The sequence below is a fragment of the Homo sapiens genome, chromosome 10, assembly GCF_000001405.40.
Source record: "Homo sapiens chromosome 10, GRCh38.p14 Primary Assembly".
Lineage (NCBI taxonomy): Eukaryota > Metazoa > Chordata > Mammalia > Primates > Hominidae > Homo > Homo sapiens.
The window spans coordinates 74,831,796-74,858,573 of record NC_000010.11 but is presented as its reverse complement, the minus strand read 5'-3'; the positions used below and the strand labels follow the sequence as shown (position 1 = coordinate 74,858,573).

General features: G+C 40.5%; 1 protein-coding gene across 35 annotated transcripts in view, besides 1 other annotated feature; it reads right to left on the bottom strand.

Annotated features, from left to right (window-relative positions):
• Positions 1-26,778, bottom strand: part of KAT6B (lysine acetyltransferase 6B) — a 207,689-nt gene that overhangs the window by 174,051 nt on the left and 6,860 nt on the right. For 21 of the 35 annotated variants that reach the window (XM_005269664.3, XM_047424913.1, XM_047424916.1 and 18 more), the window contains exons 2-3: positions 19,822-19,891; positions 15,096-15,974 (exon numbers count right to left, since the gene is read on the bottom strand). In XM_005269664.3, the coding sequence (XP_005269721.1) occupies positions 15,096-15,716 (621 nt within the window). In that variant the 5' untranslated portion in view covers positions 15,717-15,974; positions 19,822-19,891. Of the gene's footprint in view, positions 1-15,095; positions 15,975-19,790; positions 19,892-26,778 lie in introns of all 35 variants that reach the window. The other 14 variants (XM_047424912.1, XM_047424919.1, XM_047424927.1 and 11 more) reach the window with 2 other exon arrangements.
• Positions 2,294-2,504: a silencer, noted in NCBI's record as "fragment chr10:76615828-76616038 (GRCh37/hg19 assembly coordinates)". NCBI's record gives its function as "represses an EF-1alpha promoter that drives an FKBP-Casp9 reporter gene in an ReSE screen in K562 erythroleukemia cells {active_cell/tissue: K562}" and the evidence as "EXISTENCE:reporter gene assay evidence [ECO:0000049][PMID:32094911]".

The window sequence follows — 26,778 nt, the reverse complement described above, 5'->3', positions numbered from 1 at the left end:
AGGCATAGCGGCTCTCACTTGTAATCCCAGAACTTTGGGAGGCCAAGGTGGGTAGATTGCTTGAGCCAAGGAGTTCGAGACCAGCCCGGGCAAAATGGCAAAACCCATGCCTATCAAATATACAAAAATTAGCTGGGCATGGTGGCACACGCCCCTGTAGTTCCAGGACCCTGAGGTGGGAGGAGTGCTTGAGCCTAGGAGGTCAAGGCTGCAGTGAGCCATGATCACACCGCTGCATTCCAGCCTGGGCAACAAAGTGAGACCCTGTCTCAAAAAAAAAAAAAAAAAAATTGCCCATCCAAACTTCTATTGTTAAAAACTCTGAAGCTATTAGTGCCAAATCCATTCTTCAGTTCTTCAACTAGTGAGTAAAGGGACATGAAGTGGAGGCAAGAGTGCACGCCCCCGTTCCTGCTCTCCTGGAAATGACTCAGGATGTACCATGAGACTCAAAACTCAGGCCTCTTGACCCCCGGCCTTCAGCTAGCATTACTCCCATAAACTGTGATTAATTCCTTTCTGGTTATTTTTTCCTTTTTTTTTTTAATTAAGAAATAGAGTCCTGCTCAGTCGCCCAGGCTAGAGTGCAGTGGCACGATCATAGCTCACTTACAGCCTCAAACTTCTGGACTCAGGCAATCCTCCCACCTCAGCCTCCCAAGTAGTTAGGACTACAGTTCTGTGCCATCACACTTGGATAATTTTTAAAAATTTTTTCTAGAGATGGGATCTCACTATGTTGTCCAGGCTGATCTCAAACTCCTGGCCTCAAGTGATCCACCTGCCTTGGCCTCCCAAAGCATTGGGATTATAGATGTGAGCTACCTGCACCTGGCCCTCTTTCCTTTCTAAACAGACTTGATCATGGTTCACCATAGCCCAAAACCTTCAATGATTTGCAACCCCCAATGCAAAATTTGATTTAGGTGACAATACTAAACCCTGTGTGGCAGGCAAAATAATGGGCTCCCCCAAAAATGTCTACTTCCTAATGCCCAGAACCTTACCTGGCAAAATAACCTTGCAGATATGATAAAGTTAAGGACTGTGAGATAAGGGCATTATCTGGATTATCCAAATGGGCTCAATCTAATAATATGCATCCTTTAAAAGCTGAAAAACTGTCCAGGCTGTGGTAAGAGGCAGATGTGACTGTGAAAGAACAGTCAGAGAGATGCAACATTGCTGGCTTTGAAGATGGAGGAAGGGATCATGAGTCAAGGAATATGCGCAGCCTCTAGAAGCTCAAAAAAGCAAGGGAAAAGATTCTCTCCTAGAGCCTCCAGAAAAGAACATTACCTTGCCCTCACCTTCATTTTAACCTAAGAAACCCATGTTGGACTTCTGACCTACCGAACTGTAAGACAATACATTTGTGTTGTGTTAAACCATTAAGTTGCTGTAATTTGTTACAGCAGCAATAGAAAACTAATACACACTGGGTGAAAGGTTACTCACATGCTTTCAAAGTATCATTGCACAGATTACTTGTTAATTACAAAAGGGAAAAGGCGCCTTTATAAACGAAGATCTAGCAGATGCCACCTTAACCAACTGATAAACTAAGCACCACCAGTAATGAGACAAGCTGAAATTATTTATCTCCTGGTATCTCACAAGAAGAAATATACAACATCCCCCATACAGTATTTTTTCTTTTCTTTTTTCTTTTTGAGACAGAGTCTCACTCTGTCACCCAGGCTGGAGCGCAGTGGTGTGACCTTGGCTTACTGCAACCTCCATCTCCTGGATTCAAGCAATCCTTCTACCTCAGTCTCCCAAGTAGCTGGGACTACAGGCACATGCCACCACGCCCAGCTGATTTTTTTGTATTTTCTGTAGAAACGGGGTTTCACCATGTTTCCCAGGCTGGTCTCAAACTTCTGAGCTCAATCAGTCCACCCATCTTAGCCTCCCAAAGTGCTGGGATTATAGGTGTGAGCCACCACTCCCAGACCCCCACACGCTATTCTTGTCAAAAATGTTTACTCTGAATCTAATCATGAGGATACAGTCAGACAAATACTAATTGTGGGACATCCTACAAGACAACTACCCTAGACTCTTCAAAAATGTCAATGTCTTCAGAAGCAAAAAGGAGGGAAAACTGTTCTCTATTAAAGGTGACATGACAGCCAAATGCAATATATGATCTTTGGTTGGATCCTGGATGAAAAGTCAAAAGTTGGCCAGGCGCAGTGGCTCACACCTTTAATCCCAGCACTTTGGGAGGCCTAGGCGGGTAGATCACCTGATGTCAGGAGTTCAAGACCAGCCTGGCCAACCTGGCGAAACCCCATCACTACTAAAAATAAAAAAAGTTAGCCGGGCATGGTGGCACGCACCTGTAGTCCCAGCTGCTCGGGAGGCTGAGGCAAGAGAATTGCTTGAACCTGGGAGGTGGAGGTTGCAGTGAGCTAAGATCATACCACTGCACCCCAGCCTGGGCAACAGAGCGAGACTCCATCTCAAAAAAAGTCAAAAGTTATAAATGAGATTTTGGGGCCATTTGGGGAAATATGGACTGTCAGTTAACACTCATTCCACTGCCGAATTTTTTGCGTAATAGTATAGTATATAAGAGAACATTTTTGATATATTATTAAGTATTTAGGGGTGAAATATAATATTTGTAATTTAGTTTCCAACAGTTTAGTCAAAATTGTGAATATATAAATGTGCTGTATATATACGCACACCCATGTATAAAAACATATACATATACACACATATAGGAAGAGAAAGAATGTGGCAAAATGTTAAAATTGGTGAATCTATGTGAAAGAAATAGAGTGTTTACTGTACTACTCTTTTAATATTTATGAAATACTCTAATTTTATAAATTATAAAGGTTAGGAGAGAAGTATTTTCCTAGCTCCCTCCATGCCTGCCTTTCCCAGGTCTGCTCACACACTGCCAGGAGTCTACCTGGAACAGCTGATGTTCTTCAAACAGCCAATACTCTTCCACTAGCAGATCCTGTTTTCTGCTGCTTTACTCACAACTCAAGGCTCAACAGCTAAAGCTGGGTTTTGTTATAAGACAGAAGTGTTTACAATACTAATTTTGAAAACAAGTTGGTCAAATATCAAATGGGAGTCATCTTTTAATGGCCTTATTACTAGATTTTAATATGTTCTTATGTTTCTCTTTCCCAAGATAATGTTTATGATCTGTTTCTTAAACTTCATCATACCCATAGGGTGGCAAGCATGACAGGGAAACCTTGGACAAAAAGCAGGGCTGGTCACATCAGAAACTACTAACAGAAACAGTCAAGCTCTGCCTCTGGCTCTCAGCCCATGTCACTCTGAACACCCTAGGCAGCCCAGACCAAGGCTCACCTCCTTCCTGCAGGCCTCACTGCTCTCCATATGGCAGCTCACTGACATCAAAGAAGACGGAAGAAATTATCTAAATTCACCAGGCTAGTTCCACTCCTTCCCTTGAATTGTGGAAGAGTCGCTGATATCTCAATTACCTCTCCTGCAATAGTACCTTTTTCCCTGCATGCTAAGATTTTGCAATGCTAAAAAGCAGGGTGAGAAGTGTATACTGGACTAACAGATGGAAGATTAACAACAAAAGACCGACTTGATGGGGGAGACAAAACTACAATGTTTGTATACCTATAATAAAAATACTGAGGAAGAAAAATTGAACTTGTAAGTAAAGTTAGGTTGCTCTTCTGTAACGCCTGTCGAGCTACAGACAGGAAAAGGCCCAGCATGGTTTCTGTGTACGCCTATGCTGTTTCTAATAGAAAGGACAAAATAGAGCCAAAACATCTGTTGACCAGTTAAGTTTGTTAATGAAACCAAATTGCAGCTGGTTTATCACAGATCAAAAGTGAGGCAAATTAGAGAAAGGATGTATGAACAAAGCTGGTTTCTAAAAAATAGTGGCTAAAGAATTCTAAACCCACTTGTCAAATTAACAAAAATCCTTCCTGGATTTTGCTTAGACCAGTGATTAGTATTTACTTTGTATCTTTGCAGAGACCAGCCTCATAGTTTAAATCTAGTATCATTCACTCTAAAATGTTGTCTATATTGCTCATTTTGCAGATTTATCAAAATATCACCTTTCATTAAAAAAAAACAGAAAAAACATACACTCTACATAATATTACACTAATTAAAAGATTCACTTATATAAGGAAAAAGAATATGTAGTTTGCAACTGTTGGAGACTTCTCTGGTAAAGTGCTTCTGCCCCAAGCAGAGGCATATGTACAGTTAGCATTTCACATATCCACTGCCACAACTCCTTCTCTTACATGTACAACTTTCCATCACCACCTGAAGACAGAGAGATAAGCACACCCACTCACAAAAACATACTTCCCTCTTGGCCCTGCTAACTCAAAATGTCACATGCAAATTACATGGCTGACGCATTTGCTAACTTTAATTTGGTGAGCTAATTGATGTTTATGTACTCAGAAACATTAATAGATTGGAGAGATCAAAGTACCTGAGAAGATTCAGGTTCATATTTTAAATGCTAGTGTGATCAGAGAACAGTTTCACCTAATCTACTGTAGTTTAAGGCACAGGGCCAAGAAAAGGAAGTTTATAAACAAAACAAAAAGTCAAGAATTTTACAATTAAAACACATTGCTACTGTCATGATAAAACAATGGGCTGGGCGTGGTGGGGCATGCCTCTAATCCCAGCACTTTGGGAGGCCGAGGTGGGCAGATCACAAGGTCAGGAGTTCGAGACCAGCCTGGCCAATATGGTGAAACCCCCGTCTCTACTAAAAATACAAAAAAATTAGCCAGGAGTGGTGGCACATGCCTGTAATCCCAGCTACTCGGGAGGCCAAGACAGGAGAATTGCTTTAACCTGGGAGGCGGAGGTTGCAGTGAGCCGAGACCATGCCACTACACTCCAGCCTGGGCAAGACAGCAAGACTCCATCTCAAATTAAAAAAAAAAAAAAAAAAAAGGCATTTCTTATATATTAAAAATAAAAGGCTGAGCACGGTGGCTCACGCCTATAACCCCAGTACTTTGGGAGGCCGAGGTGTGTGAACTGCTTGAGCTCAGGCGTTCAAGACCAGCCTGGGCAACGTGGCGAAACCCTATCTCTACAAAAAATACAAAAATTAGCTGGGTGTAGTGGTGTGTGCCTGTAGTCCAAGCTACTTGGGGGGCTGAGGTGGGAGGATGGATCATTTGAGCCTGGGAAGGTCAAGGCTGCAGTGAACCATGATTACACGGCTGCACTCCAGCCTGGGCAACAGAGTAAGACTGTCTCAAAAAAAAGAAAAAAAAAAATTAGCCAGACAAGGTGGTGCACACCTGTAGTCCCAGTTACTCAGGAGGCTGAGGTGGGAGGATCAAGGATCACTTGAGCCCGGGAGGTCGAGGCTGCAGTGAGCCATGATCAAACCACTGCACTCCAGCCTGGGTAACAGAGTGAGACCCTGTCTCAGAAAAAAAAAAAAAAAAAAAAAGATGAAAGAAATAACATACAAAGATAAAACATATAAAAAGAATATAGACCTTCATTTTTGAGAAACATTAAAACGTACATTTGTTAAATAATGTTTGAAGAGAAAGGATGAATAAAATATTTGTCATTTAAGACAAAATCAGAATAAACCAGCAAATAGTACTTAACTGTTAAATAACTTCAAAGCTACAGAATATAGATTTTCTTAGCACTGAAAGTATCACAAATGTAGCTGGGAATACAAGAGTAACTCCTGAAAGCTGCTGATCATTCAGGACAGGATCATGTGTTACATACAGTAAAGGTATCACAACTATCAAATCTATCTAAGATCCAAAGAGTTAAAAGAATGTTTAACATTCATTTGAACAACCAAAAATCCTCTTGACATAATGTTTCTACTTTACCTGAAGCCCATTTCATTAGAAGTCTAGACAAGTCCCATCTTGATAAAAGCTCAAAAGTGGAACACGCTGTCATGCCTCAGAGTACAATAGAAAGACTCATTCACCCTTCATTTTATCTTTCCCTTGACCCAACTAACTAGTTTGAGACAATTCATGTGCTCTCTCAACAATGTCTCAACAACTGGTACTACCTGCTCACAAAAGCAGTCCTCAGACACTGCTATTGTGAAGAACTTCTGAAGCTTAATTATAAGAAGAACATGAACTGCAATTTTTTTCCTTCCATGACCCTGGAACAGCAAGTATTTGATCCACCTCGTCTTTCACATTACAATAGGTTTCTGTCTGACTTTAGTGATTCTAAAACTGACTTTATCCATACCAATTCCAAAATGCAGGTTATTTTGAAGAGCATATTTTACAATATTTAGAGATTTATTCGATTTTCAGTTAAATACACATAATCAAGCACTCTTCAAGAAAGATGACATCTGCAACACAAAGGATACCAATTCAAAGGAAAACTAAGAAGGTCAACAGAGAGGAGGACATTCAGGCTCTATAATTAGCAGATAAAAAATATACACATTTCTGCCAAAAAAGATCCAGAGTTGCCTGAGACTATGAACAATTCCCCTAGGGCTGAGAGACTTCTGGAAGCCTGCCACATCAAAGAACAATATGGACTAATGAATAGTCCTTCATAAAGTACAGGCTATTGGAAAAGTCCCAGAACAGATGAGGAGGGTCTGCTCTAGGGCAGGGTTAAGGGGACTGAAGAGGAGAAAACAGAATGGAGAAAACAGAAGAAAAGAAAATCTAAAAATAAACTTATCTAATTCATGTGTGTAAACAACTCAAGCAACTGCTGTAGGATGTACATTTATCTTCTATTTGTAGAAATATTTCATATTAATAACAGTGCCAAAAACCCTAACAACGTATCTCTCTAAAAGGGGCAGGAGAAATAGAATAAACAACTGAATAAGCCAAGACCACACATAACAAGGGTCCTACGTTTGTCTTTCAACCCCATTTCTGATCATCTGAACTCCTTTTAAAAATCATTTTGTGGCCAGACACAGTGGCTCATGCCTGTAATCCCAGCACTTTGGGAGGCCGAGGCAGGTGGATCACTAGGTCAAGAGATTGAGACCATCCTGGCCAATATGGTGAAACCCCGTTTCTACTAAAAATACAAAAATTAGCTGGGCGTGGTGGTGCACGTCTGTAGTCTAGCTACTCCAGAGGCTGAGGCAGGAGAATTGCTTGAACCAGGGAGGCGGAGGTTGTAGTGAGCCGAGATCGCGCCACTGCACTCCAGCCTGGCAACATAGCAAGACTCCATCTCCAAAAAAAAAAAAAAAAAATCATTCTTATCAGCCTGACCAACATGGTGAAACCCTGTCTCTACTAAAAATACAAAAATTAGCCGGGCATGGTGGCACATGCCTGTAATCCCCAACTACTCAGGAGGCTGAGGCAGGAGAATCGCTTGAACCCGAGAGGCGGCAGCTGCAGTGAGCCGAGATTGCGCCACTGCACTCCGGCCTGGGCAACAGAGCAAGACTCTGTATCCAAAAAAAAAAAAATCATTTTGATTTTTTTCTTATTGACAGTATCACTGTTTTTGTAATTTTGTTTATGTTTGAAGGCTTTTTGTAAGATTCTAATACAAATATTTCTTCAACAGAAAAAACATCAGAAGCCCTACTTGATACTGAAAGTGTCCCACCTTCCAATTACGATGCCAACCTAGAATGAGAATTCCCACATTATGTACTACACTGGAAACAGACCAAGACTTGACACTTAATAAATTTTATGAAGACATTCTCACTAAAGTGAAATACTATGGAATTTATTTTAAATGGAACTAAACTGATTTTATAAAAATGCTAAAGCTCAAATGTTCAAATGGAATCTTAATGCTACAAAGTGCGCAGTGATAATGGAAGTCTCTCTTAGAATATGTGACTTTCCAAAGTCCTCATAATCTGACCTAATTGAGCTTTACTACTTTTAATGAGAAACATTAATACTATCCTTTAGGAGTTCCCTCACCAAGTCAAAGATAAAGTTTTATCTTCAGTGGTTTAATTCATTTCCATATCACCTCACCGAAGAGAGCTTTCTTAAATAAATACAAAGAATTTATGCTAAGAAGCCAGTGTGGTAATACCCAATTTGAATTCCAGACTATCAGAAGATGTGCAATTACATTTCAGAAAGGAAGGAGCCCTTCTATTTTAACTTGCATTGTATTCCTCCTAGCAGTCATGCATCGGAATGATGATGATGTTCAATCTAATTAGACACAGACTTACTACTTTCTCTACTGCCTTTCCATATTGCTAATATTATAAATAGTATCTACTTTAAAAACTATAATAAGCTCATTGCATCTACCAAATTTAAAATGCTGGAAATCTATTTGTTGGGGCAAAACTGCTTCTAATCATTTGAAGAACTGGAAGAGATACTTTTACTGTTAATAAAAAGCCACCACAGGCCGAGGCAGGTGGATCACGAGGTCAGGAGATTGAGACCATCCTGGCTAACACGGTGAAACCCCGTCTCTACTAAAAATACAAAAAATTAGCCGGGCGTGGTGGTGGGCGCCTGTAGTCCCAGCTACTCAGGAGGCTGAGGCAGGAGAATGGCGTGAACCCGGAAGGCGGAGCTTGCAGTGAGGCGAGATCATGCCACTGCACTCCAGCCTGGGCGACAGAGCGAGACTCTGTCTCAAAAAAAAAAAAAAAGCCACCACTGTTGACCAGTGTACTGCCCAGTGGTAAAGAGCTCTGAGGTCAGACTGTCTCGTCAGAATCTTGGCTTCACCACTCACTAGCTCTATCAGTGACCTTGGGCAAATCACTTAAGCTTTCAGCCTCATTTTTTCATCTGTAAAATAAGGGTAATAATCTACCTCCCTTGCAGTTATTGTGACAAGTCAAGGAGATAATAAATGTAAAGCACTTGGAATAGTGCCAGCATTTAACACTTACAAAACGTTAGTTATTATTCTTACTATTTTTATTTTGTTTTACATTTAATGTAACTGCTCAAAAAAGTAACCAGAATAAACAGCTTCTTGAAAGTCATGGCCAGGCACGGTGGCTCACAAGCCTGTAATCCTACCTAGCACTTTGAGATGCCAAGGCAGGCGGATCACTTGAGATCACGAGTTCGAGACCAGCCTGGTCAACATGGTGAAACCCTGTCTCTACTAAAAATACTAAAATTAGCCGGGCTTGGTGGTGCGTGCCTGTAATCCCAGCTACTTGGGAGGCTGATGCAGGAGAATCACTTGAACTGGGAGGCGGAGGTTGCAGTGAGCTGAGATGGCACCAGCGTACTCCAGTCTGGATGACAGAGTGAGATTCCATCTCAAAAAAAAAAAAGTCATTAGTTAGGCCAGGCATGGGGCATAGTAGCTCACGTCTATAATCCCAGCATTTTGGGAGGCCAAGGCAGGCGGATCACTTGAGGCCAGGAGTTCAAGGCCAGCCTGGCCAACATTAATGAAACCCCATCTCTACTAAAATACAAAAATTAGCCCAGTGTGGTGGCACACACCTGTAATCCCAGCTACTCGGGAGGCTGAGGCACAAGAATTGTTTGAACCTGGGATGCTGAGGTTGCAGGGAGCCAAGATCATGCCACTGCACTCCAGACTGGGTGACACAGTGACACTCTGTCTCAAAAAAAAGGCATTAGTTGACTAGATTGTAATTGAGATCACTCCATTTCTGAACTGTTTTCACTTATATCATAAATTTCCTCCCACAATGCAAGGCAAATCCTATGACTTCAAGCACATCAAGAACAATGATAATCTTTTCAAATATATTAGAAAAAGTCTTATATATAGGAAATTATAGTACAATCAATCTACATATGAATCCAAGTTCAGCAGCCAAAGGAAGAATCATCATAGGTCGACAATTAGCATACTATGATTTAGTATAAGAAACTCAAACTATTTTAAAATGGCTACTAGGCATTTTGGGTGCCTTTGACAAAAGATGTAGACCAGGAGTGTCCAATCTTTTGGCTTCCCTGGGCCACACTGGAAGAAGAATTGTCTAGGGCCACATATAAAATACACTAACAATAGCTAGTGAGCTTAAAAAAAAAAAAATTAAAAACCACAAAAAAATGTTGTTGTTGTTGTTGTTGTTCTTGTTGTTGTTGTTGAAACGAAGTGTTGCTCTGTCGCCCAGGCTGGAGTGCAGTGCCTCAATCTCAGCTAACTGCAACCTCCGCCTCCCAGGTTCAAACAATTCTTGTGCCTCAGCCTCCTGAGTAGCTGGGATTATAGGCGTGTGCCACCACGCCGCAAGCCAAAAATCTCTTTATGTTTTAAGAAAGTTTACGAATTTGTGTTGGGCTGCATTCAAAGCCATTCAGGGCCGCATCTAGCCCATGGGCCATGGGTTGGACAAGCTTGCTATAGACCCTAGCCATAGAAAAACATGTGGAGGCCAGGCACAGAGGCTCATGCCTATAATCCCAGCACTTTGGGAGGCTGAGGTGGGTGGATCACCTGAGGTCAGGAGTTCAAGACCAGCCTGGCCAACATGGTGAAACCCCGTCTCTACTGAAAATGCAAAAATTAGCCAGGCATGGTGGCGCACGCCTGTAATCCCAGCTACTAGGGAGGCTGAGGCAGAAGAGTCACTTGAACCTGGGAGACAGAGGTTGCAGTGGGCCATGATTGTGCCATTGTACTCCAGCCTGGGTGACAAGAGTGAAACTATGTCTCAAAAAAAAAAAAAAAGAAAAAGAAAAAGAAAAAAAAAGAAAAACATGGATACACACACATGACTTCACACTCTATTTCAGAGGATTTGTGGGATACCCACCCAAGTTCATTTGTGGATCCCGGGCTAAGAATTTCTATTAAATTTACTTAGCGAGTTTACATGGTTTTAAACTATTAAATCACTTTTAATTTCAAAGGGTAATATATTATGTTGTAATTTTCTCACATTTTTTAAGGAAAAATGCTATTTTATTTATTTATTTTTTTTTTTGAGATGGAGTTTCGCTTTTGTTGCCCAGGCTGGAATGCAATGGCGCAATCTCGGCTCACTGCAATCTCTGCCTCCCAAGTTCAAGCAATTCTCCTGCCTCAGCCTCCCCAGCAGCTGGGATTACAGGCATGCACCACCATGCCCGGCTACTTTTGTATTTTTTTAATAGAGACGAGGTTTCTCCATGTTGGTCAGGCTGGTCTTGAACTGCTGACCTCAGGTGATCCACCCACCTCGGCCTCCCAAAGTGCTGGGATTACAGGCATGAGCCACTGCACCCAGCTGGAAAAAAATGCTATTTCATTAAAGAATACAAACATGTTGCCAACTTTGTTTAAACTGATTTTTATTTATTTTTGTTTTTTAAGAATCAAATGATTACTTAATAGAATTAGTCTCCAAATTTCATCAAGTAAAAATTCTAGAAAACATTTCTCAGCTTTCCTCATTATAGCATGATGCTAACTAAACAATTTAAAGATCAGCATCATAAAAAGAGCAGTAACAATTGCCTGCTAAGCAATAAATTACTCTGCTCTCAATCCTAGACACTTTCAGACATGAATTTTCCTTTAGACTAAAAATACTTCTGTACAGATGCTGCCTGAAAAAAATATGATAAGGTTGGCAAGAAATGACGGGCAAGGTTAAAGCGAAGGATCAGAAGATACTGTGGAAAATTTGTACTGACTCTTCCATCACAAGTAAAAAGTATCCCCTGGATCACAAAATTATTGAAACATACTATTAAATTGCCTAAAGCTACCTGAATTAGTCCACGTACCTGTTCATTATAAAACCTTAACATACCTTAGGGTAGTGTACATATTTTTAAAAACAAAGATATCCAAATCCATCAAGAAATGGCTCTATAGTCCCTTAAGGAATTTCTTCACAGTATAAGCTTTTATAAAAAATATTTAATTAAGGCTGGGCACAGTGGCTCACGCCTGTAATCCCAGCATTTTGGGAGGCTAAGGCAGGTGGACCATGAGGTCAGGAGATTGAGGCCATCCTGGCCAACATGGTGAAACCCCGTCTCTACTAAAATACAAAAAATTGGCCAGGCATGGTGGCACGCTCCTGTAGTCCCAGCTACTCGGGAAGTTAAGGCAAGGAAATCACTTGAACCTGGGAGGCAGAGGCTGCAGTGAGCCAAGATCATGCCACTGTACTCCAGCCTGGTGACAGAGCAAGACTCCATCTCAAAAAAAACAAAAAAACAAAACAAAAATATATATATACATATGTATTTAATTAAAAACAGAGGTCCCTGATTTGGCTGTGTCAGACATATGAATTAGGATTTAAGTGGCTTTTTGTATTTTCTTTTAAACAAATGTTATTAAGAAGAAAATTTCATAACTTTACTTCTTTCTTTATGCCCACATTCTGCCACAGAGAACTAGAGGTTGGTTACACAAACACAACAACCACCTAAGGATCAAATAAATGTGGCAGAAGACTAACAAAATAAAAATATAGTTAACAAATAAATGTTGGCCAGGCACAGTGGCTCATGCCTATAATCCCAGCACCTTGGGAGGCCGAGGCGGAAGGATGTCTTGAGCCCAGGAGATCGAGACCAGCCTGGGCAACATCGAGAAACCTCATCTTTACAAAAAGTACAAAAATTAGCCGGGCGTGGTGGTGTGCACCTGTAGTCCCAGCTGCTCGGGTGGCTGAGGTGAGAGCATCACTTGAACCCGGGAGGTGGAGGTTGCAGTGAGCCGAGGTGACACCACTGCACTCCAGCCTTTTAGATCAGCCCATGGAAAGGCAAACCACCTGGTCCTATCCAATTTGTAGGACCAGGTGGTTTGCCTTTCCATGGGCTGATCTGATCTAAAGCATTGAGGAAAACAGGTTCCATTTCAAGGGTTCATGGTATCCAAACAAGAGGAGCATAACTTTTCCTAACATGCATGTTTCAATTGTTTCTAAACTGTACTTAGCCCAGGCAACATGGCAAAACCCCATCTCTACAAAAAATTTAAAAACTTAGCTGGGCATGGTGGCATACACCTGTATTCCCAGTTACTTGGGAGGAACACTTGATCCCAAAAGGTCAAGGCTGCAGTAAACCATGAATAAAACCACCATTTCTTTCCTTCTTTTTTTTTTTGTTTTTTTTTTTTTTTTTGAGACAGAGTCTCGCTCTGTCACCCAGGCTGGAGTGCAGTGGCACAATCTCAGCTCACTGCAACGTCTGCCTCCCGGGTTTAAGGGATTCTCCTGCCTCAGCCTCCCAAATAGCTGGGACTACAGGTGCCCCCCACCACGCCTGCCTAATTTTTTTGTATATTTAGTAGAGATGGGGTTTCACCATGTTGGCCAGGCTGGTCTCAAACTCAGGCAATTGGCCCACCTCAGCCTCCCAAAGTGCTGGGATTACAGGCATGAGCCACTGTGCCTGGCCAAAACCACCTTTTCTTTCTTCCTTTCTTTATCTTTGGGACAGGATCTCACTCTATCACCCAGGCTGGAGTACAATCAAGGCTCACTGCAGCCTCTACCTCCCATGCTCAAGTGATCCTCCCACCTCAGCCTCCCAAGTAGCTGGGACTACACATGTGCTTCACCAAGCCTGGCTAATTCTTTGATTTTTTTGTAGAGACAGGGGTCTTACTATGTTGCCCAGGCTAGTCTTGAACTCCTGGGCTCAAGTGATCCTCCCACCCTGGCCTCCCAAGGTGCTGGGACTACAGGCAGGAGCCACCCTGCCCAGCCAAAACCACCTTTCTATCAACAATGATTAATGTTTTATAACATGTATTAATAAAATTAACTGATATCAATATATCTGCTCACCCAAAAGACAGAGAATAAACCCCAAAACTAGACATGAACTATAAATAACTTTCTGCTGCTCTACTTTGTGTTTAGTTTGGGAAGTAAATACTGTAGCTTTGAAACAAAGACAAATCTTACTCAACCAAAAACTTAAAGTGGTAGCAGTAATGTAAGGAGAATTCTGCCATATATTTATAAATACTATAGAAATAACATAAGGCCCAAGAAATCAGAGTATTTTAAAAAGATACTGTATGAGACAAAATAAACATTCACCTACAACACAGAGAAGTGGACAATAAAAAATGACTTTTTATTGAAATGAGGGATTTAGGTGACGTATTAAAATAACTTCTTACATGCATAGATTATCAGCCAGGCATGGTGTCTCACGCCTGTAATCCCAACACTTTGGGAGACCAAAGCGGGTGGATCACCTGAAGTCAGGAGTTCGAGACTAGCCCGGCCAACATGGTGAAACCTGGTCTCTACTAAAAATACAAAAATTAGCTGGGCATGGTGGCATGTGCCTGTAATCCCAGCTACTAGGTAGGCTGAGGCAGAAGAATCACTTGAACCCGGGAGGCAGAGGTTGCAGTGAGCCGAGATTGTGCCACTGCACTCCAGCCTGGGCAACAAGAGCAAAACTCCATCTCAAAAAAAAAAGCATAGATTATCACCATTAAAATAAGAAGTCTAGCTGGGCATGGTGGCTCACGCCTCTAATCCCAGCGCTTTGGGAGGCCGAGGCGGGCGCATCACTTGAGGTCAGGAGCTTGAGACCAGCCTGGCCAAGATGGTGAAGTCCTGTCTCTATTAAAAATACAAAAATTAGCCAGGTGTGGTAGCAGGTGCCTGTAATCCCAGCTACTTGGGAGGCTGAGGCAGGAGAATCGCTTAAACCTGGGAGGCAGAGGTTGCAGTGAGTCAAGACTGCGCCACTGCACTCCAGCCTAGGCGACAGAGCTAGATTCTGTCTCAAAAAAATAATAATAGTAAAATAAGAAGTCTGTAGATTCTTCTTTGAAAATAGTAATAAAGAGAAAAATATACGATGGCCTTTTCGTAGATTTCTGAAATATATATGACCCTGCCTGGATGAAGAAAGATCAATATTATCCTTCCTGGTCCCTTCAGACACCAACCAGTTAGCAATTAGAGCTTAAAAACAAACCACATGACTCTTCCATTAAATTCTTGGCCAACCAGTGAGGAAGTCCTCCACACAATGCAGTACAATATATACATTTTAAAATACAAAAGCCTGCTCTAAGGCAAAACATTCAATTTTATCAAACTTTATTCAGAACTTTTGTCCACATAAAACTTAAGTGAAACCGTAAAAGACAAAAGGACAGTAGTGAGAATGCACGAACATTACTCCTTCGCTTACCTGGTCTTTCTCATGGGGTAGAAGGCTGACAGGTGGGAGCGAGGATGGGAATGCACTGGGATACTGAGGTGCCCCTTTGCCATCTAAGCTCCCATAATTGACCCTGTACTGCGGTCCGTCTTTCAGTAACCTCCCATTATTCACAGCGCGTTTGGCCCCCAGTCGCAGCCGCTGCTGAAAGGCTGGGTTGTTGGTGGTGCTTGTGAGATCACTTTGACTTCTGAGATACTTCTCTATGTTCTTCAGGGAGGAGCCATTCGGCTCCTCAAGTCCTTCAATTGCTCTCCTTAAAAGTTTATTCCAATCCACATTGCGGAGATCATTACATGATCCTCTAGACCCCTTGGCTGACTTAGGAAAAGTGCCTGGTTTAACTGATGAAAAGCGCCCAGGGTTGTCTGGGTCCTTATAGGAGGCAAGGCCTTTGTTGGTGACTTTGAGAACTGAGCCATCCTGAACACTGAGTTCCAGCTGTTCAGAGACTGTCTTCTTATCCAACCCATGGGAAGTACTGACCGCATGGCAGATTCTCTCTTCAGAGGGCCTTTGCTTTTGCTTTTTTATTTTCTGTATAGCTTCAAGAATCCACTCTGTATAAAGTGGGTTTGCAAGTTTTACCATGGTTGACAAATGACTTCTTCAACACAAAAGTTACCCATAGAGGTTCTCTTTGTATTTAACAGAACTTGCACATTTGAAAGTCATTTACAATTCAACAAATGGACAGAGTATTCCAGACTGTATTAAGCAACATCTTACAAACATCCATCCTTAAGAGATTCAAAAGCAGACAAACAGGCAATGTTGATGGTTGTCTTATTTTACCAACAGGAAAGACTGCATTCGGGTGAAGAACATCTTTAACTGGGAAATCAAGACCTTAAAGGATAAAAAGAGGGGAAAGTCTCTTAATAATGAAGCTTACACAAATAAACTAAAAGATTCTTTAGCATGACTTTTTCAGACACAGAATGACCACAAGAAGTAATGACAGGCAGGTATTACATAACACAGCCACAGTGACTATATTTTTCAACAAGAAATTGGGTCACAGTCTGAGAAGAAATTGTTTTTAGAATGTTTCACTTCTCTATATGAAGTCATTTATGAGGCATAATCACATCTAAATTATACATTTAATTATATTTATTGAAATTAACAAAATTATATGAAAGTGGTTTGAGGTATATGTCTGCCATAAACATAAAATACACATCAAAGAATAAGTCTATGATATAAAAAATCTGATGAAAGTACATTAAACTTATTTCAAAAAATCTTAAACTTAAAAAAAAGAGTAAATAATCCAGCTTTCAGCTAGGTATTGTATTTCCCAAGTCTCATACGTAAAAAAACTTCCCATCTAGCTACTTCTATGGAATCACATCCCCATCCCTTTAACAGAGGTCTATGATACCCTCTAACCCACAAATTGGAAAACTGAAAATAATACAGTAACATAACCCTTCACCTTTAAGTAGTAGAGCATTCTAGTTATCTTAATACCCAGTTAGCTCATTAAACAGCTCAGTACAAAGAAGATATATACAAATCTGATTCCAGGTGGACAGTGGCATTTGTTCTGAGAGATGCTTGGTATATACAAAAACCACCCTAGATCTCCAATCTGGTATTGAGTACATCTACAAAGAGGCTACAAGGAGAAAGAGCCTTGGCCTGGGAATTGGGCCAAACCTGAGCTCTAATCTTGGTGTCCAATGATAACATCCACTTCTTAATTCTTTTTATAGTTTAAACTGTACAGAGTGTGCTCACATATAACTTGTCACTTAAACTGCAGAACTTTGTGGGTAAACTGAGGCTCGGGAGAAGATGGAATTCACCCAAGGGAAGAGTCAATAACAGATTAAAGGGTCGAACATCATTAATTTTTTTTATTAATTTTTTTTTTTTGAGATAGAGTCTCGCTCTGTCACCCAGGCTGGAGTGCAATAGCGCAATCTCAGCTCACTGTAATCTCTGCCTTCTGGGTTCAAGCGATTCTCCTGCACAGCCTCCCAAGTGGCTGGGATTACAGGAATGTGCCACCACACCCAGCTAATGTTTGTATTTTTAGTAGAGATGGAGTTTTGCCATTTTGGCCAGGCTGGTCTCAAACTCCTGACCTCAGCCCACCTCGGCCTCTCAAAAGTGCTAGGATTATAGGTGTAAGCCACTGTGCCCAGCCAATTCTAAAATCCAACTAAGTCCATCACTGTTCTCACCTGAGCCACAACTGCCTGCTCTAGCTAGTTCTGCCTCTGCAAAGAGACCAACCTGGGTCTGAACCCCAGCCCTACCACAATGTCCAGTGGAGGAACCCTGGATAACTTAAGCTTCCATCACTTTACTTGTAGGCAATACTGGTATATCCCTTACAGGACTACTGAGAGGATTAAATAAACACATTATCTAATATTCAATATATAGTTATCACTTTCATCAAATGCAACATCTATATACTTTGAAATTTTTATAACAAAATACAAAATTAAAGTTATCTCTGGTTATTTATTTAGACAGACTATACCTAAGAGAAGAAAATAATATCTTTCCTTAAAAACTTTAGCCAGACATACTGAAGAATATAGTATTTGCTCTCAGAGATCCTGGAATGTTGCTGAAAAACAGCTGGGTCATTGAACTATACTTGTTCAAACAGTACAGTTTTAAATGCCAACCCAAAATGCCACCTTAAAGGAGGCAATTTAAACAAGATTGTCCCTGTGATCAGTAAGCTGTAAATTCACTCTACTCATTCTCCCCTCAGATTCAGAAACTTGGGGCTGAAGGTCATCCAGTCCAACCTCTAGTTATCCAATAAAAGATCCCTGCCCAATATCCCAAATAGATGGGCAATGAGTCTTTACATTTTTAAAATACTTCCAGTGATTGATAATTTGTCACTTTTTGAGGCAGCTCACCCCACTGTTGCACAGCTCTAGCTAAATTTCTTGCTCAGAGAAGCAAAAATCTGCCACCCCATAACTTCGACCCTATTCCTATTCCTAACTAGTCCTATTCCCTGGAAGGATCCCAAGACAATTCTTAGTATTTCTTCAGTATGAGAGGCCTTCAAATGTCCAAAAACAAGTACCTTTTGAAAACCACTAACGACAAAACCCCATGCTACCTCCAGCCATAACTTAGACCACTCATATCCCAGTTTCTTAACCCTTCCACATATCACATTGTTTCAAAGCACCACTTTCTCTTGGTTGCTCACTAGTTTGGCTATTGGCCATCTTAAAATATGACAGTTCAGGCATTATCCAATTATAAATGCAACCCAAATTACAGGAACTTCCTCAATACCCCTGCCACACAAGTGGTCATGGTGAGCATGCAGTCCAACTAAAAATCCCAGATCTTTTTTCAAAAAGTGCTGTCAAGTTGAGTCTTTCCACCCCTTTCCTTCTGCAAATTGAAATGCTGCAATTTAACGTTTATTACCGTTCAATTTCATCTCGTTGATTTAAGCCTATCTTCCAACCTGCTAAAGATTGTTTTGAATCTTGATTCTGTCATCTATGTCATCTACAAATCTAATAAGTACTCACTTTTGTTTCATTATATAAACCCTTGACAAAAATGTTAGACTTGGAACACAGTGTGTTTAGGAATGAAATCACTGGCTTTCACAGTGCAACCACTTTCAGGATAGAACACAGAATCATTCTCTGTCAGTTAGTTTAGAACAGGAAATTGATCTTTCCCAAGTAAAATGGTTTCGGGCAAAATTTCATTAGAAGATATTTCACTGTATCCAAGTAATTATTTAATCTTTCATCATTTATTCAGGATGAATCACAACTAATTTAATTTGATTGCACAAAATACAACTGCAGAAAGTAGAAGAGGTCACAGGAAAAGTGCCCAATATTGCCAAGTTGCTTTTAGGTGTTTTGTTACACAAGCAAACGAACGTACATTAAAACAAAATGCATAGCCGGGCGTGGTGGCTCACACCCGTAATCCCAGCACTTTGGGAGGCCAAGGCGGGTGGATCACCCAAGGTCAGGAGTTCAAGACCAGCCTGGCCAACATGGTGAAACCCCGTCTCTACTAAAAATACAAAAAATTAGCCAAGCATGGTGGCATGCGCCTGTAATCCCAGCTACTCAGGAGGCTAAGGCAGGAGAATCGCTTGAACCCAGGAGGCAGAGGTTGCAGTGAGTCGAGATTGCGCCATTGTACTCCAGCCTCGGCAACAAGAGCGAAACTCCATCTCAAAAAAAAAAAAAAAATGTGTTTCATAACTAATAGATACCTAAAATATACCTTCATGACAAGCTTTTACCACAATCATTTTTTTTTTTTTGGGGGGCACAGAGTCTTGCTCTTGTCGCCCAGGCTGGAGTGCAATGGCATGATCTCGGCTCACTGCAATCTCCACCGCCCAGATTCAAGCAATTCTCCTGCCTCAGCCTCCCAAGTAGCTGGGATTACAGGTGCCCACCACCACGCCCAGCTAATTTTTGAATTTTTAGTAGAGACAGGGTTTTGCCATGTTGGCCAGGCTGGACTCAAACTCCTGATCTCGTGATCCGCCCACTTCGGCCTCCCAAAGTGCTGGGATTACAGGCGTGAGCCACTGCACCCAGCCCACAAATCTTTACCCACAATCATTTATATCCATAAAACAATTGTTTATATCCATTACCAACACATTTCAATAAGATTGTCATTTTATACCTTAAAAATGTAATAAAATAAGGGAAAGTACCAGAATTGGAACTTCAAACGTTTTAACAGTCCATGACAAAAATGGAGATTATCCAGGTCTTCAGGCAAATCTGCCAAAAGAAAAAAGGAAATGTTCATTTGGACATAAGGACATCCTTAAATTCAGCAACCATCCGTGTATCTCCACAACCATTCAAGACAAACAGCTCCAATGAGTTATTATACTACATTTGGTGATATAATAATTCTTTTAGACCACTGAAGGATTCTTATAAATATGAAACTTGAGACAGAAAATGAAGCCCCAAGGACCCAGCCAAGTGCCTATAGAAGTAAATTTCATCCCTAAGCCCAGACCTGTTCAAATTTTAAAAATCAGGTTTGTGATAGATTCCTAAGAAAAAATCTCATCATGGAAAAACAAAACAAAAACAAAAACCCACTACTACTCAAATAGCCAAACAGATATAACATTTATCAGAAAAAAAGACAGTCAAAAGTTGTTTTAAGGTCAGCATTCACATTCCTGGGCAGCATTCGCTGTTTGTCCCAAAGGCCACCAGGCACCTAGGTACTGAATGGACTACCCAGATATGACCAATAAGCTCACCTACAAGAAAAACGTACCAGTTTACATAATAGTAAATATGTATTGACACAAGTCACATTTTAGGACAGCAGTGATTATTTTTACTTGAAAAGCAAAAAATAAATTTAAAAGAACAATTGTGAATAACTGCATTTTGATCTTACGTAAAACAATCAAGCAACCTTGGATCCTCCTTCTCCCCTCCCCCAGCCACGACACACACCCCACTCCTCGATTTAATCTCAAAATTAGCTCTCATCTGACACCAACCAACAGAGTTAATTAGGCAGAAGCAGATGTAACTCAGCAGCTCTTTGCTACAAGCAGAATCACAGTGTTCAAAAAAAAAAAAAAAATACACAGCTAGGAGAGGAACAAAATCAGAAGTCTCTTATCTGTAGCCAATTCTCAACTAAACACATGTATATTATCCACTTTGTATATTATCCACCGCAAATTTTTTAATCTTAGGCTGATTTGTTTCCAACATCCCACTGGCCCCACTGTAAATTCATATAAGCAAGAGAATAGATTGAAAACCAATTTCATTTTAGCCTAAGCAGTATCTAACTGGAAAGACAAATCCACAGGAAAAAAAAATGCATAATTCATTCAAAAGCCAAATAGAAATGATTTTTTTTTTCCTGATTTGGAATTATCCACACTATTTCTCTTTTTCAGAGCATGGGGATTTGCTTCACATGTAGATAGGACATTCTATCACAAGCGAAAACCCTAAAATCATTATTCTCTTTTCATTTTTTTTCTATAAAAACTTGAAGGTTGGACTAAAAGGCTATCAAAAAGGTAGCAAATCATCCTAAATTAATTCTGGGGATTTGTGCTACATCAAATTAAATTATTCTATTTTCTAAGGTTGTGAATCATTTTATTTTTAACTACAAAATATCAGTAAATTATATGGTTGTATCATACGGTCTTATAATATAACACTATTTACATCATTCATTACAAATATTCTAAACATATCTAGAGAAATGCTTAGTCCAGCACTGAGCTTTTAGCTTCACTGGTATTACATAAACATCAACACTATTCAGAAATATTCATGTCAGCATAAGAAGAGTCAAAATATCCTGGATCATAAGTATTATGCGAGGCCTCCTCTAAGCTTTTACTAAAGCTGTGTGTGTTGTTTCAAAATCAATGTCATAACACTCAAGTCATGAGATTATGGATGAGGCAAAAAACAGTGGTAGAAAAAAACAAAGATTAATAATAGAGTTTACACTTTTGTCATCCTGAGTTTTACTTGCTAACAGTTATTTTTAACTATTTTACTTTCATAAGTCCTGGCTTTTTCTTTCTTTTTTTTCCCCAAAGGGATCACTGTTGGAAAACCTGGATTTTTTCAAAGCCCATTGTGTAACTGAGTGAGCATCCACAAATCTAAGCAGTATCTTCCGAAACAGAACAGAACTGTTTAGGGGAAGGGACCTTGACTTATTTTTCTTCTATCAGCACCCAGCTCAGGTTATTGGCAGAGTTGCTCAAAATAGTGTCCTTGGTTAACAAATATCTGTTGTCTGACAACATGAAACGCCATCCATATGGTGATATTTCTTATCTTTCAAATCCTGGATGCATCTATTTCCTCTGAAATCAATGCTTCAGGCCCAAAACATGTGAACTGGGAGGTGAGGTTATAAATACTAATCAAAGAAAAACCAACAAATATTTAGCGAGCTGATGCTCCCTGCATGCAGCCCTGTGGTAGGTACTATGGGGAATACAAAGCAAAGCTAGAGACAGAACATATAAGAAGCAATTAAGAAATAGCAAAGCACTGTTTGGCGGTTCCTCAAAAAGTTAAACACAGAATTACCATATGGTTCTGTAATTCCATTTCTAGGTATAGACTCAAAAGAATTGAGAACAGATACTCAAATAAGTACACGTACACCCATGTTCATAACAAAACTATTCACAGTAGCCAAAAGGTGTAAACAGCCCAAATGTCCATCAACAGATGAACAGATAAACTGTGGTATATCCATACACTAGAATACTATACAACTATAAAAAGCAATGAAGTTTCGATACATGCTACTACAATGTAGATGGACCTCAAACACGTTATGCTGTGAAAGAAGCCAGACACAAAAGGCCACACATCATATAATTTCATTCATATGAGACATCCAGAATAGATAAATCCATAGACAAAACACAGATTGGTGGAGTCTCAGGGACATATCTAGAGAAACTGCTTAATGGGTAAGGGGTTTTATTTGGGATCAATAAAAATGTTTTGGAACTTGATAGTGGCAGTGGTGACACAACACTGAATGTACTAAATGCCACTGATTTGTTCACTTTTTAATGGTTTTTTCATTTTATGTTATGTGAGTTTCACCTCAATAAATTGTTTAAAAAAAAAGAAATAACAAAGCACTAAACTATAATAATAATAATAATACCAACCATTTCCTGACACCTACTGTGGTCCAGGTACTTTACATAGATTATCAGTAAACTTTAAAACAACTCTGTAAGGTAGCATTGTTGTTTTTACAAAAGGAAAACAGGCTTGACTTAGCCAAGATCTCAGAGCCATTAAGTCATGAAGGATTTTAATTCAGATGCCAAAGCCCAAACTCTTTCTGTCTCTCCAGAGGTTTTCAAACTAGGCTCTTTAGATCTCTGTGACAAGGAGTTACTTCGGGTATTACCTTCAGGTACCCCTTGTGGGTTAAACTTTGGGCCATTGCAGCACCTTGAACCCAACAGTGCAGCTCCACTTTAACTGTTTTACATATATTTGTCTTCCCCATAAGATTCGCTTTAAAGGAAGTGTTCCTCTGATTACAGAAGGAAGAAGTCTGGAAACAACTGTGACTATACTACCTTGCTGAAACCACGTGGAGGATGGATGAACATCTCTTGGATGGATGGGACTGAAACTGAACCTTGAAAGATAATGCTGAGCCTGGATAAGTGCCCCACCGTCCCTCTGCCCAAATTCAAATCCTTCATGGCCCAGTGCAAACAACTTCTCAAAAGCCCCAAACATCTTTGTCTAACAGGAAGCTTTTAGCTTTTTTACTGTTTTGACATTCATTTCCCACTTAGTATTATGCTTACTTGTGTATTAACCTTGTCACCCCTACTAGACTATAAAATTCTTAAAAACAGGATTCATGCTTGATTCATCTTTGTATACCCTAAGATTTCCCAAGACCACAACTTGATCATAAGAGGGTTTCAATGCCTATTTGCTAAATAAATGTATCGGGGAATGAATGAAGGAAATCAAAGTGAAATAACAGAAGCTAAGAATGAGCTGTCAAACAAAAGGGACACCAAGTCCATGTGCCTGACTAGAACAGGTATATGCTCAAAAGGGATAAAGAAATTAAGTTGGGCCAGGCACAATGGCTCATGCCTCTAATCCCAGCACTTTGGGAGGTCAAGGAAGGAGGATTACTTGAGGCCAGGAGCTCGAGACAAGCCTAGGCAACACAACAAGACCCTACCTCTACAAAAATAAAAAATTAGGTGGCTGTGGTGGTGTACACCTGTAGACCCAGCTACTCGGGAGACCGAGGCAAGAGGATCTCTTGAGCCGCCCAGGAGGTTGAGGCCACAGTGGGCTATGATTGTGCCACTGCTCTCCAGCCTAGGCAATAGAGCAAGACTCTGTCTCTAAAAAAGACAAATATAATTTAAAAATGAAAAACAGAAATAGGCCAGGCACAGTGGCTCACACCTGTAATCCTAGCACTTTGGGAGGCCAAGGCGGGCAGATCACGAGGTCAGGAGATTGAGACCATCCTGGCCAACATGGTGAAACTCCATCTCTACTAAAATACAAAAAATTAGCCAGGCGTGGTGGTGCATGCCTGTGGTCCCAGCTACTCGGAAGGCTGAGGCAGGGGAATTGCTTGAACCCCGGAGGTGGTGGATGCAGTGAGCCGAGATCGCGCCACTGCACTCCAGCCTGGCAACAGAGCCAGAATCCATCTCAAAAAAAAAAAAAACAGAAATAAAGTTGGCTGTGAAAAAAGCCAAGCTGTGGTGTGTGAACGTGACAGATGAATAGGAAGCCACTGCAGGAGCAGGTGACACCATAATGCACAGGGAAGGGCATGCACATACACACACAAACCTGTTGAATGTTTGAATCACTCTGGCAATAGTAGCCATCTACTCTGGAGGGAAGGGTGATTGAAAGAAAAAACAAAAGCAACCAGTATTTCATCTCTGCAAACATCAATCTTGTTCAACTTATATTTATGAGCCTAACTCAGCAGCAAGCCCAGAGCAGGCACTCAATAAAACGCTGGTTGAACTGAATATTTAATTCCCCATCTTTTTAGAGTAACACTAAGTTCTTTCCCACTACTCATTAACAAAGAGAGTTTTCAATTCATAAGCTAATAATGTTTTCCAAGGATTTCTAAGAGGCTAAATCACCATAAAAATTATCATTTCAACTAATACATATTATATTAATTGCAAGTTTAATTTTTCATGTCATGCTCTCCTAGTTGACAATATCCTTGTTATGTCATTAAACTATAATTGTGTAAATGTGCTTCAACAAACAATAACTGAACCATCAATAAACTATTATGGTTTCCATAATCCCTAGCAAAGATTAGTTTCAACATCATCATCATAAATTAGTAGAGACAGGTCCCAAATCTCCTGGTGAAACCCATGAATTAGGTTTGCATAGTTATCCCTGCATTTAAGTGCTCAATAGTTTCAGTCTCTAAAATTTAATCACACTGTTAGGAACCTCACAGGAAATTTGATCCCTTGTAAAACAGAGGAATTTAGAGACAAGATGAAAAGTCATTTGAAGTCATCAGGTCTTTGGAGCCAGGGTACACTGATTAGTAATGATGTATTATAACTAAGCACTTTCACTTAAGAAATAATCAACTAAATTTAGAGTGTCTTTTTTTGGCATTTAAAAATTCCTATTCAATCCTAGATTTCTCCCTAATTACAAATTAGCTTTAGTTGGTTTTTGATGACAAAGACCGAGAATAATGTATTAAGGGAAAAAATGTGATTTTTTTTTTTTTTTTTTTTTTTTTGAGACAGAGTCTTGCCCTGTTGCCCAGGCTGGAGTGCAATGGCGTGATCTCGGCTCACTGCAACCTCCGCCTCCCGGGTTCAAACGACTCTCCTGCCCCAGCCTTCTGAGTAGCTGGGATTACAGGCACATGCCACCATGCCATTGTTTGTTTGTTGTTGTTGTTTTTATTTTTAGTAGAGACGGGGTTTTACCATGTTGGCCAGGCTGGTCTCGAGCTCCTGACCTTGTGATCCAGCTGCCTGAGCCTCCCAAAGTGCTGGGATTACAGGCATGAGCCATCATGCCCGGCCAAAAAATGTGATTTTTAAAAAACTTTTTAAAATAGAGATACAAGGCCAGGCTTGGTGGCTTATGCCTATAATCCCAGCACTTCGACAGGCCAAGGCAGGTGGATCACCTGAGGTCAGGAGTTTGAGACCAGCCCGGCCAACATGGTGAAACCCCATCTCTACTAAATACAAAAAATTAGCAGGCGTGGTGGCGCATGCCTGTAATCCCAGCTCTTTGGGAGGCTGAGGCAGGAAAATTGCTTGAACCCAGGAGGTGGAGGTTGCAGTGAGCCAAGATTACGCCATTGCACTCCAGCCTGGGCAACAAGAGCAAAACTCTATCTCAACAAAATAAATAAGATAAAATGAAGATACCAAAAAATCTAAATAAATAAATAAAAATAGAGGCGGGGGTCTCCCTATGTTGCCCAGGCATGTCTTGAACTCCAGGGCTCAAGGGATCCTTTCACTGTAGCCTCCCAAAGTAGTGGGATTACAGGCATGAGCCACTGCACCTGGCTGAGAAAAATCTGACATCTTAACTTTTTTATGATTCTTTTGAAAGAGAGATTATTACAGGATTCTTTGTTAACTGTATTACAGATGTCTTCAGACCAGATATCCAGATACCCTGAAAAATTCAGGTTCCCTTTTGAGAGTTTCATAAATATTATAGCTCTACTCTAAAAAATAAGCACATGTACCCATATACACTGGTATACATTTTTAAGGGTTAACAGACCTTCTGTCATCCAGCCATGGACCACTTAAGGTCCACTGGCTATATACAGAGAGGTATTTTATCCAGTTTCACAATAGTTAGCTTTGTGTGCTTTACTTAAGGCATGTTACATCAAGAGTAAGAAAGTTATTCTTTTTGGTTTTGGATGTTATCAAAAAACAGGTTTCTGACATTTTAATCAACAAGTAGGTGTGCTGTGATGGGAAGTATCAGAGTCAGGGATCCAGTCCCCATTCTGCTAGCTACCTAGGCTAGGGGATATTGGACATGCTACTAAATCAATCTAAGTCTCTGTTTTCTCTTCTGTAAAAATGAGAATACTTCTC